The sequence below is a fragment of the Homo sapiens genome, chromosome 4 (genome assembly GCF_000001405.40).
Source record: "Homo sapiens chromosome 4, GRCh38.p14 Primary Assembly".
In the NCBI taxonomy this organism is placed as follows: domain Eukaryota; kingdom Metazoa; phylum Chordata; class Mammalia; order Primates; family Hominidae; genus Homo; species Homo sapiens.
This window is the reverse complement of record NC_000004.12, coordinates 15,646,961-15,660,504: the sequence shown is the minus strand read 5'-3', so window position 1 is coordinate 15,660,504 and position 13,544 is coordinate 15,646,961. Positions and strand designations below refer to the sequence as shown.

General features: G+C 41.1%; 2 protein-coding genes across 23 annotated transcripts in view, besides 8 other annotated features; one reads left to right on the top strand and one right to left on the bottom strand.

Moving 5' to 3' along the window:
* The window catches only part of FBXL5 (F-box and leucine rich repeat protein 5), a 77,189-nt gene that overhangs the window by 21,065 nt on the left and 42,580 nt on the right, over window positions 1–13,544 (top strand). For 5 of the 21 annotated variants that reach the window (NR_036464.2, XM_011513833.3, NM_001193535.2 and 2 more), the window contains exon 1: window positions 5,148–5,301. Coding sequence is in view for 18 of the 21 variants with exons in the window: in XM_011513833.3 (XP_011512135.1) it covers window positions 5,218–5,301 (84 nt within the window). In the remaining 3 variants the exon portion in view is untranslated. Of the gene's footprint in view, window positions 1–582; window positions 779–4,162; window positions 4,277–5,147; window positions 5,302–13,544 lie in introns of those variants that run through there. The other 16 variants (XM_047450056.1, XM_047450050.1, XM_011513831.3 and 13 more) reach the window with 5 other exon arrangements.
* Window positions 1–13,544, bottom strand: part of FAM200B (family with sequence similarity 200 member B) — a 53,657-nt gene that overhangs the window by 29,943 nt on the left and 10,170 nt on the right. Inside the window, exon 2 of one of the 2 annotated variants that reach the window (XM_047450112.1) lies at window positions 8,938–9,002. The gene's annotated coding sequence lies outside the window, so the exon portion shown is untranslated. Of the gene's footprint in view, window positions 1–8,937; window positions 9,096–13,544 lie in introns of those variants that run through there. The other variant, XM_047450110.1, reaches the window with a different exon arrangement.
* Window positions 4,624–4,743: an enhancer, noted in NCBI's record as "active region_21340". NCBI's record gives its function as "activates an Ori minimal core promoter by ATAC-STARR-seq in GM12878 lymphoblastoid cells {active_cell/tissue: GM12878}" and the evidence as "EXISTENCE:reporter gene assay evidence [ECO:0000049][PMID:35858748]".
* Window positions 5,044–5,153: a silencer, noted in NCBI's record as "silent region_15299". NCBI's record gives its function as "represses an Ori minimal core promoter by ATAC-STARR-seq in GM12878 lymphoblastoid cells {active_cell/tissue: GM12878}" and the evidence as "EXISTENCE:reporter gene assay evidence [ECO:0000049][PMID:35858748]".
* Window positions 5,044–5,255: a biological region, named in NCBI's record as "ReSE screen-validated silencer GRCh37_chr4:15656873-15657050".
* Window positions 5,078–5,255: a silencer, noted in NCBI's record as "fragment chr4:15656873-15657050 (GRCh37/hg19 assembly coordinates)". NCBI's record gives its function as "represses an EF-1alpha promoter that drives an FKBP-Casp9 reporter gene in an ReSE screen in HepG2 liver carcinoma cells {active_cell/tissue: HepG2}" and the evidence as "EXISTENCE:reporter gene assay evidence [ECO:0000049][PMID:32094911]".
* Window positions 5,394–5,463: a silencer, noted in NCBI's record as "silent region_15298". NCBI's record gives its function as "represses an Ori minimal core promoter by ATAC-STARR-seq in GM12878 lymphoblastoid cells {active_cell/tissue: GM12878}" and the evidence as "EXISTENCE:reporter gene assay evidence [ECO:0000049][PMID:35858748]".
* Window positions 5,494–5,713: a silencer, noted in NCBI's record as "silent region_15297". NCBI's record gives its function as "represses an Ori minimal core promoter by ATAC-STARR-seq in GM12878 lymphoblastoid cells {active_cell/tissue: GM12878}" and the evidence as "EXISTENCE:reporter gene assay evidence [ECO:0000049][PMID:35858748]".
* Window positions 11,748–11,847: a silencer, noted in NCBI's record as "silent region_15296". NCBI's record gives its function as "represses an Ori minimal core promoter by ATAC-STARR-seq in GM12878 lymphoblastoid cells {active_cell/tissue: GM12878}" and the evidence as "EXISTENCE:reporter gene assay evidence [ECO:0000049][PMID:35858748]".
* Window positions 13,116–13,341: a silencer, noted in NCBI's record as "fragment chr4:15648787-15649012 (GRCh37/hg19 assembly coordinates)". NCBI's record gives its function as "represses an EF-1alpha promoter that drives an FKBP-Casp9 reporter gene in an ReSE screen in K562 erythroleukemia cells {active_cell/tissue: K562}" and the evidence as "EXISTENCE:reporter gene assay evidence [ECO:0000049][PMID:32094911]".

The following is a 13,544-nucleotide window of genomic DNA, read 5'->3' as shown; positions in this document are numbered from 1 at the left end:
AATAAGATGTATACATGACATCTCTATTTCTAGGTAGCTCTCAGCATTTAAATTTTTTAGGAGGTGTCTTGTGTAATTGGGGATTTTTTGGTACTCTGTTTTGAGTTTTTAAAACAATGTCGGGGCTGGGTGCGGCGGCTCATGCCTGTAATCCCAGTGCTTTGGGAGGCCATGTGGGAGGATTGCTTGAAGCTAGGAGTTCAAGATCAGCCTAGGCAACATCATGAGACTGCACCTCTACAAAAAATAAAAATAAAAAATTAGCCTGGTGTGGTGGCACGGGCCTGTAGTCTTAGCTATTCTGCAGCTGAGAAAGGAGGATCATTTGAGCCTAGGAGTTTGAGGCTGCAGTAAGCTATGTTTGTGCCACTGCACTCCAGCCTGGGTGACAGAGTGAAACCCTCTTTAAAAAAAAAAAAAAATGTCAGGGGTAGGGAGGAAGGAAACAGAACTGATACTTTCCTAATACTTTTTTTTCCCCTCTCTGTAGGCAGGGATTAAGCAACTGCCTGCCAGATTTCATCACTACAATGAATGTAACTCTGACACTTTACAGGAACTTATCATTTCTTTCCATTCCAGAAACTTGTGATACTTTCTCACTACATGGTGCAAACAGCTGAGTCAAGTTGTCCCTGAGAGTAGCCACCTTTCCCTCAGGCCATACACATGGAACCATTCTTTCTCCCTACAAGTCAGCCCATAATAGAGCCTCTGGTTGAAAATCAAGATTTTGGTGTTCACTTGGCAATATTTACTAAGAGGTAAATGACGCAAGGTAGGTGACATAAAGGTATATTTGGGAAATGGAAGGCTCTTCTCTGTCTGAAAATTTTGCAAGGAAACTTTATGGACCACTATACACATTATATCTCCAGATTTAAAATGAAAGAGACTATGATTTTAGTATTATCTAAACTTCTCTTCAAAAGGAGATCTAAGGAATGGGACTACTCTATATTTGGACAGTTAACGTAGTTTGCGGTGCAGCTCACATTCTCCTGGTAGAAGGAATTAGAAATCTGAGTAAAGAGATTCCCAGAACTGAATCTTACCCAGTACCCAGTTTAGGAATCAATTTTTGCTTATGAGGTCAAAATGAGAACCCTTTAAAGGAGGGTAACAATTGTTGAAATTAGGACTTTAAATATAGCTTGTTTGGATTAGTTTTTCTTAAAAACCATATATGTATATTACTGAATAACAGGAGTATTTTGGTTTGTAAAAACTTTTCAAATTCTCATTCATGCAGCAAGAAATATTTTATGCCTACTATGTATGCCTACTACTTGTTCAGGGAATGTAGATAAACATTATTACATAATGTCAGGTACTTAAAACTGCTAAGAAATTAATTATTTTACTGGGTACCCTTCCATTTATGACATTCTTCTGATTTTTTGTCATTAAATATATTATTTAGTTAAAGCACAGGAGGGACTGAAATTAATGAGGAAGAAACATTGATCACTGCAGCTGATTAAGGATGGGGTGGATAGTATGAAACTGAGTTTAAAAGCTGGGAAATTCCAAGAACAGTAATCAGGATTTATTCAACTTTATATCTCAAGCTCCTGCTGCATATTGGGTGTCCAGTTTAACGCTGAATATGAAAAAATTAAGTCTCTGGAGTCCCAGATGGATAATTTTTCTTAATATTTAATGCTGAACTTAAGGGCCACTTCTACCAGAAAGCCCTCTGTGGCTATCGAGAAAGTAGATTAAGACATCATCCTGTATGTGCCTGTCTTAGTCTGTTTTCTATTGCTTATAACAGAATACCTGAAACTGGGTAATTTATAAAGAAAAAGAATTTATTTCTTACAGTGTGGGGCTGAGAAGTCTATGGTCAAGGGGCTGCATCTGATGAGGGCCTTTTTTCTGGTGGCGACTCTGCAGAGTCCCAAGGCAGTGCAGGACATCACATGGCGAGGGACTCAGCATGCTGGCACAGGTCTTTCTTCCTCTTGTAAAGCCACCAGTCCCACTCCTATGATAACCCATGAATCCTTTAATCCATGAATGAATTAAGCCATTCATGAGGGCAGAACTTTCATGACCCAATCACCTCTTAAAGGCCCCACTTCTTAATACTGCCTTATTGGGGATTAAGTTTCAGCATGAGTTTTAGAAAGGACAAACATTCAAACCACAGCAATTCCTAAATCAGCCTGCTGCAGCAGTTGTTGATTGACTATTTTGATGGACAGTAAGGATCAACTCTGGTACTGAGTGAGGACTATGATTCCAACTGGGTCAAAACGTAAACATTCTTTCATTGCTTGTTTTCACAACTAATCCCCTATTAGGGAAAGTGCTGTGTCACATACTCAAACGGAGTGAAATGCCTTAGAATTGACCCTCCCTGGCCAATAACCCTTTCCAGGGTTCTCAAAATTAGGCTTGGAAACTACTATAGAAGAGGCCTATTGATAACAGAATAAGTTATATTTTTAGGTTGCCAGAGAGAGAATGAGAGTAGGTAAGAGAAACGACCAATTCTACCAGTTATTCTACAATGTGGGTTTTCACTGCTCTGTTCACATGCCTTATTCAGACTTCTTGTGGTGGTCAATTGCTAGATGGTCTGTTGGAATTATCTGCTGTCATACATCCAAAAAGGTCTCACAGAGAGGTAAAGTGACAACCTTGGTCTTAATAACCCTCCCAAATCTGCTGTAGTTGCAGTAACCTATGGTAATGATACTACACTGATCAATGACCTCTTTAGAGCTAAAGTTCAGTAAAGTCAGTCATTTATTTTGGATATATCAGGTGATTAATTGCTACATAATTCAGCATATGGAGCTAATGTTAATAGCTTTCCATGGGAAAAATTACTCACAGGGATTATTTTTAAAATCACTTTCTTTCATTTTGTCATCTAAAACAAATTCCTTGAAATGGCCAGTGTCCAAAGTGGCTGTTACTACTTTTCAGCTGATTATAGAGCTTCAAATCTGGGTTACAGTGAAACTGTGTGGATGGACTTTTTTTGTTGTTGTTGCCAAATACCTTTTTAATGTGTCTGGTTCTACAGATGGATACACTAGTGAACAGCACAGACACAAACAGTTGATTGGACAAGACAACATAGCATATTAAACATTAGTAAAAATGAGGAAATTACACAGTGCTATGAACTACCCTCATTCTTTTTTCCAACATATTTACTGAATACTCACTTTATGACAGACATCATTCTAAGTGCTGAGGATAAAACAAAGTGCATGTTCTCATGGAGCTCATTTCTCTATATAACTGGTTCACCTGAGGTCTGATTCTGCATTCCAAGATAGCTGGAGTGAAAGATTAGTATGAGGTAAAGAAATAGAGGGTAAATAAGAAAATGCTCTCTGGAGGTTATTAAAAAATATAGAGGCAAAGTCCTGGCAAAAGAACGAGAAACGGGGTGAAAGGGAGAAGGAGGAAGAGAGAAATTAATCTTTATCAAATATTTTATTATTATTCTATTTCTTAAGCCTTATTCCTGCTTCTTAAGACAGACTGTGAATAAGCCATCTCTGTATCCCAACTAATGCAATGACTCTGGGGGTACTGTCAGATCCAGATTTATATGACAGATTTTTGACTTACTAATTTGTGGGACCCTAGGCAACTACTAGAATGTCTTGAAGACTTAATTTCCTGCAGCACTACCTCATAGAGTTGCTTTAAAAAAGTATTACTAGCTTACAGACGGTACTGTTATAAGTGCTTCAAATATATAAATCCTCATAAAGATTCTGAGGTAGGTATTATTAGCTTCATTTCATGTCAGAGCAAACTGAGGCATAAAGAAGTCATATAGCTTGTTAACGGTTGTATAGCTAGTGTCTGGCAAAACCAGGAATCTTAACTTCCAGAGTCTGTGGTTTAACCACTGTTCACACTGTCTATAATAGCATATAGTAATATAAGATTAGAACTAAATAGGGTGCATTCCACTGCAAAGTTCTTTCTCACCTTCTTCTACTCCATTATTTGTTGACTATTTACTGATCCCCATGTTGTCTTGCAACTGTGATAGATAATAGAGAACAAGGGTGAACACAGCATATCTGGTTCTTGCCCTCCTGGAGGTTCTGGCCATTAAGCAAATAACAATTCCTCCCAAGGTTCTCAGGCTTCCCTGTTTTCTCCTATTTCTCTATCTGTCCAGCAGTACTCCAGCCAACCAATCTAAGACTGACCGGCGTGAGCAGAGAACAGAGTCTCCAGGAGGTCTGTGGCCAGGGCCAGGCGATTTATGGGAAAGAGGCAGACATTTTCCTGGGTTAGTGACCTTGTTTTCTCTCCGAACCTCCGCTTAAAATGGCGGGATTTGTACCAAGGTTCTTTCCCGCACCAACCTTCCATTATTCACCCTTCTCCCCACCCCCAAGGCCCGTCGGGCCTATCCCTGACCCGCGTTCCTGCACTTGAGGTGCATTTCCGCACCTGGATCCCCAGATACTGTTTTTCCCCCACGTTGAGTCTCCCGAATTTCACGAGAACTCTCTCTCGCGGTCTCTGCCCCGCCCCTCGCACCCAGGCCCCGCGCCCGCTGTGGGCTGCCGCCCGGGACCGAAGCTCTCAGAGCCCGCAGCTCTGGTTCACCAACCGCTGGGTGGGAGCCAGGCCCGGCCTTTGAGTGGCGGCCGGGGTGGTCTGCGCTCGGCCCCAGGAAAAATCTGGCACGGGCCAATCGCAGGGAGGCGAAGGGCAGCTCCGGAGGTCCTGGCCAGAAGCATTGGTCACCCAGGCCAAGCAGGCGTCGGGGCGTGGGCACAAGCAGAGCTCGCGGCCCTGACCGCGGCCATTGTGCTTGGCTGCCTCTCCTCAAGGCCGTGGTGGGCAGGGCAGCAACGGGAGAAGCGCCGAGAGCGCCACTGCAACGACTTTCCCCTACCCTCAGCTACTGTGCTTTCATGTAGTGAAAGAAACAGGGAAAAGGTTTGGGTTCCTTCTGCGGCTTATGAAGACGACAAAAAACGAAAAGAGTGGGGGCGGGAGGCAGAAGCCGCGAGCCTCTGCGCGCGCCCGGTCACGTGGGCCGCAGGGATCGCATGGCGGCGGCCTGCGCGCCCCCGCGTCCCCGCCGGCCAAGCCGACCGGGCGCGCGCGCCGACGGGGCGGGCGCATGCGCAAGGGGGCGCGCCGCCTCTGCCCCGCGGCGAGGGTGTCTATGGAGAGGCGGCGGCCGCGGCTGCTGAGGCGGAGGCTGAGGCAGTGGCGATGGCGCCCTTTCCTGAAGAAGTGGACGTCTTCACCGCCCCACACTGGCGGATGAAGCAGCTGGTGGGGCTCTACTGCGACAAGGTAACGGAGCGCTGAGCCTCCCGCTGTGGGCGGTGCGGGCGGCGATGGGGAGCGGGCTGGGTTCTTGGGGCGGCCTGGCCTGCGCCGCGCCCGCAGCCCCGTGCCGTCGCCGCGCGAGTAGCCGCCTGCGCAGCTGTCAGCGCCGCCCGCTCCCGCAGCCTGCCCGCCCGCTGCGAGGCCTTCGCAGAGCCGGCCTGGCCGCCGCCTCGGACGTGCTCTCGGGGCGGGCGGCGTCCCCTGCCGAGGGCCTGGCGGCTGAGGAGGGGCGCTACCGGCGTCACTGGCCGCCCTCGGGCCGGCCCCACCGCCGCGCTGGGACTCCCGCTGCTGCCTCTAAGGAGAGCGGCCCTACCTCCTCGAAGCCCTGGGTGCCCCGGCCGGCCACCTGCGGTGGACTCCCATCTGCACCGAGTAGTTGTTCCCGTCCCCCGTCACTCCCCCGGGCCTGTTCGGGGCTCTCCGTGCAGACACCCACCCATCCTCTGCACCTCTCGCTGGCTTCCTGGCTGGAACTGCAGCGTCTCCCAGCTACCCGGTTCCTTTTACCCCCGGCTTTCTTCACTGGTTTGATTTGGGAGAAAAGCCAAGTTTAGAACTGAAGAACCTTCACTCTTCATGTGTCGTTATCGTTTTCCTTGCAACTTTTATTGCCCTGAACACTTACTGGATGTAGATTTTGTTATAAGACAGCAATTCTCTCTTGGATTTCTTTATATGAGCTCGAATAAAGGGGGCCTCAGGAAAAGTTGGTTTAACTGTGAGAACCATTTTGGGCCCATAATTGGTGCAGCATAAGCTGAAGAGGCACTTTTGTGGAGATGGTTCAGGGCCCTTTGCTAGTGATTTTAAAACAATATTAACATTCCACGTATTTGTCAGTTTATGTTGGGGAAAGTCATGGATATCTGCAAACCTCAGGCAGTCCCGTTTCTTGTGGAAATGATCCAACTAAATAAAGCATTCAAATGACTACTGTTTAAGCATAGAAATCAACTTTTAGGAATTCTCAGAAATTGCATAGCATTATGCAGAACCATTGTCTACAGAAAAGAGGGGTGTTTCATAGCTCAGCCAGGCGATTGGAGGATGCCCAGGGTATTCACTGTTAGGCCACACTCAAGACCAGCAATTTAAAGCAGTGACGTTGAATTTCAAATCTTAGCACTCCATCTTCTCCCTCCCTCCATTCTGAAAATTTAGAAACACCCAGTTCACATGAGTTGGAAACACCAGGACTGTCTAGGACAATGGTTTGCAACCTTGGTTGCTTATTAGCCTTAAACTAAAAACTATTAGAAGTCCTGATGTCTAGGTCACTAAAATTAGGATTTCACCCAGACATCAGGTATAAATGATTAAAGCTCTCCATTTGAGTGCAGTATGCAGCTGAGGGTGAGAACCACTCATCTAGGAGAAGCATGAGGAATGGTTAAGCCATTAAGCAAGAGGGTATATCCCTGAATTTTTTACTTAGCAGTATTATAGTGTTTTTATCCTCTCTGGCTTTTGAATATCGTTCATTCAGACACCATTCTTTAATAGCAGGAAAGAAAAAAAAAATGGTCTCAAAAATCGAAAGTGGAAGTGAAGACTAACAGAATCCAAGGTTTTCTCTCCACTTTAGACTGTGGAGAGGTAGCCTAGGATCACCTGAAATTATATGGAAAATTTTGTGCGTGTGTCCATTTTCCTAGGGTGTTTGTAGCTTTCATCGATTTCCAGATGATTGTGACCTCCCAAAATAAAGAATCACAATTTAATTTACTTGCAGACTAAGGCTAAGCAGCCTTATTTTAAAATTTTCAAGAAGTTAGTCGCTCTTTTTCTGTCTCTTCCTGGTGGTTGAGAGTATTTGAACAAATTTTGAAAATGCAGTTGCTTTTTTACAAGATATCTGAGCCAAGAGTCTTTTCAGTAATGTTCCCACTTGCATAACTAGTTTAATAAAGCATTTTCAATTTGACATGGTGTAAGTCAAAATTATTACTAATTCTGAATTAATTAGATATAGTTAATGAGATTGTTGTATACGTTTATCACGAAGATTAAAAGTCCAATTTTCTGAACTGAAACTGAGGCGATTTAGGGAAAAAAAAATGCATAGGAATTTTACATCTGGATTTCTTCTTGATACTGATAGCCAATGGAAATCTCTCTTAGGATGTCCTTTGGGAGCTAGAGTGGAAAATAAGTATTTTGTAATGGTTCAGTAATCTTAAAGGAATTAAAGGAAGAGTACCTTGTTTGTTTTTATCCATTTATCATCTCACGTTTTGCCATCCTTTGGTTGTATAGACCAAGGATATCCAACCAAACAGTTTACAATAAAACTATATAAAATGAGAACTAGTTTTTATGCTCAGACTAAAAAGGTACAAAATAGTTATTTCACTGTACAAATTTGGGCTCTGAATGCCCAGTTATTATCAAGAAGTCAGTTACTATTTTCAATATTGAACTTCTCAAGTAGAATGTATTTTAGAAGCATCCATTTATTTACTAGCATCAAGTAAACCACTTATATGCTTAAGCCAGTTAGTATAATGTATTCCAAAGTTATGTTAGTCTACTTATTTTTTAGGTATAAAGGTGAATAGGATGAGAAAATAAATTTTCAAAAGCTGACAGATGTATGTCTTAGACCATTTTAAATATTGCTGTACAATACCCGATTTAATACTTTGCCCATGGATTTCTTTTTACATCTGTAAAAAGTTTTATGGAAAGGTTTTTCACCTTTGTTATCCAGACAACAGTGCTTTGAGTTATGTAAAGACAAGGTATTTCTGTTTTATAGCTGGGGACTTAGAGGCCTAGATTAGCTAGGCCAAGGTTACATAAGCAGCTAGTGGTAGATTCAGATGGAAACCCAAGTCATTGTTAGGATTCCTAGTTTAATTTTCTTTATATTAAATCATAGTAGTTTCTTACTTTTTTGGGAACAATCTGCTAAGAAATCTCCTGCTAATTCACTGACCTTTCAGACTGGGATGATGTTAGTAAATATTTATATTGAATGACATCCTTTTTCCATTTTACTTCAATTTCTCAGTCTTTTCTCCAGTTCTCCAAGGTTAACTCCATTAATTCTGTCAGTGAGCATTGGAGTTTCTACCGTCTACTCTGTAGTAGCTTGTACTACAGAAAGACGTTGGCAATGTGACATGTGGTCTCTAGTCTCAAAAAGTTTACAGTCCAGTATGTAATAACATCTATGCTAGGATGGAAATCCAAATAGGGTATAGTGGGAGCAAAGGGAGTTACACGGTCAGCTCCACATTAAAGTGTCAGGAGTGGTCTCTTTGAATTGATTTCTGAGAGAAGAGTAGGCTGTGGTTGTCAGGATGTGGTTAGTTCAGAGATTCCCAGGCTTATATATAAACCAGTTATTAAAAACTCAAGTGGTGGAGGCCTTAAGGTGTGCCCAAATTTTTCAGGTAAGGGTATTAAAAGTGCTGTTTACTTTTATGAAAGAATTTATTTATACATTTATTTATACAGATAGGACATTTTATGACCCAAAACTCTTAAGTGGGAAGAAGCTTAGAGTAATTTGAATATATCCTTTTTTAAAAAATGAGTGAGTATAGCTTTATTGTCAGTTTTCCTTCCCCCCTCCGCCATTTTTCTGCATACCTGTAACAATTTATTGACTGGCATTTGAGAAGATTGGCTTAGTGGAGAAAATATTGAATTGAGACCTGTGGAAGAAGGAAAAGGGAATTTAATGAGTTCTTACTACATGTCTACATTGTTTCTTTTAATCTTCACGAACTACTTAAGCCAAATATTATCCTTCATTTAAAGTTGAGGAAACAGTCTTAGTGGTTAAGTAACTTACCCAACTCATTCAATTAGTAATTAGTAGAGCCTGAATTTTAATCTTAGGATTTTTTTTCCCCTTCGGAAGCCCATGGGTTTTGCATTACCTTACTAGTTCTGCTACTTATTGGTAGCTCTATGATTTTATGCAAAACAGTTTACCTGTGGGTCATCATTTTTTCCATCTGTAAATTTGATCAGCTACTTACTAAGGTTTCTTCACTGAGTATAAGTCTCCCTTGATTAAATTAAAGCATTGTCTGAGTGAGTAGACAAAGTAAAAATGTATTTGGGGGAATAATATATGTGTTTTTGTTATGCCGTTTTCTTATCTATTTTTGAATGTACTGTATCGTCTTTAAGTGACATACCACTTTTGAGAATCAGTTTGAAACCAGGCTGTAATACTTGATTTATCACTGTAGAATGTCTGAGACAGAAAGTCAGTTATAGGTTGGGTGCAGTGGCTCATGCCTGTATCCCAGCACTTTGGGAGGCCGAGGCAGGTGGATCATGAGGTCAGGAGTTCAAGACCAGCCTGGCCAAGATGGTGAAACCTCATCTCTACTAAAAATACAAAAATTAGCTGGGCATGGTGGCGGGGTCCTGTAATCCCAGCTACTCAGGAGGCTAAGGCAGAATTGCTGGAATTGGCGATTGCACTCCAGCCTGGGCGACAGAGTGAGACTCTGTCTCAAAAAAAAAAAAAAAAAAAAAAAAGAAAGTCAGTTATAAATCCTTTTAAAATGTGGAAGATATCATGTTACTATTTGTTAATTATGTGCGTCCTTTTATATATATAAGTTCTTTGTTGAATTTGTGAGGCATCAGAGTATATAACTTTATAGGTCACTAGGAACCTTTATATTTTACTGTAGAAGAGTGCTCTTCAAAATGTGTCCTGTGACCTATTAGTAGTAGGTCATAAATCTCTTTTGTGGGTCCGAAACAGCATTAAAAATTTAAACCGAAAAGTAAATACTAGAGTACATCACAGATAAGAGAGGGAAATACTGTTCCCTGAAATTTGTTTGAAGTGTTTGTGATGCGTGTGAATCTGGATTGCACTATATTTCATACTGAAGGTCATGGTTAACAGTATTTGAAAAACAGTTTTCTAGAGCAACATTTCTTAACCAAAGCATTATTGACATTTTGAGGCAGATGATTTCTTTTTTATGGGGGCTGTCCTGTGCGTTGTAGGATGTTTAGCCACATCCCTGGGTTTTATCCACTAGGTGTCAGTAGTACATTTCCGGTGGTGACAACCAAAACTGCCTCCAGATCTTGCCTTTTATCTCTGGGGGATGGGTAGTGGGGTGGCAAAATTACTGCCTTGGTGAGAGCTGTTGCTTTAGAGCAAGTGTTCTTTCTGACAATTTACTCTCTTGTATCTGAAAAGATAGCTTTATTAATGGGACTAACATTGTGTATGTAGAAAAGTCATAGATGTTAGAGTTTTAGGGACTTGGTCTCGGTTTTGTTGTTCACTAGTTGTATGATGTGGGGTAAATTTTCTTCCTGAGACTCTGTTTGTTAGTCTGTAAAATGAGGATTTTGATATCTACTTTTTAGGTTGTTTTAAGAATTAAATATATAAAAACACTAGGGTAATTTCTCACACATCATTGGCTTCCTTCCGTATGTCCTAGAACCATTAGTGTCCAGGTTTTTTTTCTCCATAAAGTCTATATGTGAAGGCAAACAATTTTAAAAACTATTTATATAAACAGATTTCAAAAAAGTTAAATTGTGTATATTCTGTTTATTCTTTTCTTTCTTTCTTTTTTTTTTTTTTTTTTTGAGACGTAGTCTTGCCCTGTCTCCAGGCTGGAGTGCAGTGGTGTGATCTTGGCTCACTGCAACCTCTGCCTCCCGGGTTCAAGCAATTCTTCTGCCTCAGCCTCCTGAGTAGCTGGGTCTACAGGCGTGTGCTAACCACGCCCAACTAATTTTTGTAGTTTTAGTAGAGGTTAGCAGAGATGGGGTTTCACCATGTTGGCCTAGATCTCTTAACCTTGTGATCCGCCTGCCTCGGCCTCCCAAAGTGCTGGGATTACAGGCGTGAACCACTGTGCCCGGCCCTGGTTATTCTTTTAACTGCTAAATTTACTAACTTTAGGTACCGGGTTAAAAATGTTTGCACTTTTCATGTGGAGAAAAACTGAGTTGGGTAGTATCTTTAAGGACTTTTCTCTCTGTTGCTCTTTTTTTTTTGGCTTTGTTTTCACTTCATCAAATCAACAAACATGTTGAGGATTTAATATAGATAAAAATCTTATTTCTTCAACCTGTTGTACAAAATATTTTGTATTCTCCACCAAGAATTTAACTTGATCTGTTGATCTGTTGATCATTTTTTCCCAGCTTTATTGAGGTATAATTGACAAATAAATATTGTATATATTCAAGGTGTACAATGCAATGCTTTGATATACATGTACATTGTATAATGATTACCAAAATCAAATTGACACATCCATCACCACAAACGATTACCCTTTGTGTGGGAGTGGTAAAGACACAGAGGATGTACTCTCAGCAAATTTCAAGTACATAATACAGTATTATTAGCTATAGTCACCATACTGTACCTTATATCCCCAGAACGTACTCATCTTAGAACTGAAAGTTAGTGTTCTTTTTTCAGCATCTCCCCATTTTCTCCATCCCCTGCCCCAACAACCACCTTTCATATTCTCTGCTTCTGTGAGTTCTACTTTAGATTCCATATATAGTGAGATCATACATTATTTATCTCTCTGTCTCTGGCTTATTTCACTTAGCTGTCTTCCAGGTTCATCTATGTTGTTGCAAATGACAGGATTTCCTTTTTTATGACTGAATAATATTTTATTGTATATATCACATTTTCTTTACTCATTTGTGGACAAGCACTCAGGTTGGCTCCATATCTTGGCTATTATGAATAATGCTGCATTGAACATGGGAGTGCAGATATCTCTTAGAGATCCTAATTTTATTTACTTTGAACATATACTCAGGAATGGGATTGCTGGAACTTATGAAAATTACATTTTTAATTTTTTGAGGAATTTCCATACTGTTTTCCATAATGGCTGTACCAATTCCTTTCTAATGATATTTTATTTTGGTCTGAATACAGAATTAATAACAGAAAAGCCTACTAAATAAGCCTTACAGATGCCTAGGTAGGGCTTATATTCTGTGTTCTTTATATTAACTTATTAAATTATCACAGGTAGCCAGGTGCAGTGGCTTGTGCCTATAATCTCAGCAACTCAGGATGCTGAGTCAGGAGGATCGCTTGAAGCCAGGACTTTAAGACCAGCTTGGCCAACATAGTGAGACCCCGTCTCTAAAAAATAAAAAAGTAACTGGGTGTGGTGCACACCACACCTGTAGTTCCAGCTATTCGGAAGGCTGAGGCCAGCAGGAGGATCACTTGAGCCCAGGAGTTTGAGGTTGCAGTGAGCTATGATCATGCCACTGCACTGCAGCCTGGGTGTCAGAGCAAGACCCTGTCTCAAAAAAATTCTCACAAGAACTCTGTGAAGTAGTTAATATTATTAGCCCTGTTTTACAGATGAAGAAACTGAGGTACAAAGAAATGTAATGACTTGCTGGTAGAATGGATTTACACCTAGGCAATCTTGCCCTAGAGTCAGTGCTTTTAACTACTGTGCTAGGTTAGCTGGATATAGATTCTACCTGTAATTTAGAGTCTCTTTATATAGTTACTATAGTTAATTTGACTGTCAGTTTGTGGCATGAAACTAATCTTTACCTTAATGTGTTATTAGATCTAAAAGAATTTCTAATAGTCTAATGAGAATATATGCAAAATTCCCTGTATGTCTTTTAATATATTATTTTTCTTAACTCATGTTAGGGCATTACAGTCTTCCCTTGGTATCCTCCTATTTTGTGGGAGATTGTTTTCAGGACACCCATGAATACCAAACTCCATAGATGCTCAAGTCCCTCAGATAAAATAGCATAGTATTTGCATGTAACTTACACATATCTTCCCATACACTTTAAATCATCTTTAGATTACTTATAATACATAATACAGTGAAAATGCTATGTATGTAGTTGTTATATTGTTTTTTGTTGTTGTTGTTTATTTTTATTTTTTTCAACATTTTCTTTCTTTTTTTTTTTTTTTTTTTTTGAGATGGAGTCTTGCTTTGTTGCCCAGGCTGGAGTGCAGTGGCATGATCTCGGCTCACTGCAACCTCTGCCTCCTGGGTTCAAGTGATTCTCCTGTCTCAGCCTCCCGAGTAGCTGGGACTACAGGTGCACACCACCACTCCCTGCTAATTTTTGTGTTTTTAGTAGAGATGGGGTTTCACCATGTTGGTCAGGCTGGTCTCGAACTCCTGACCTCAGGTAATCCACTCACCTCAGCCTCTCAAAGTGCTGGGATTACAGGT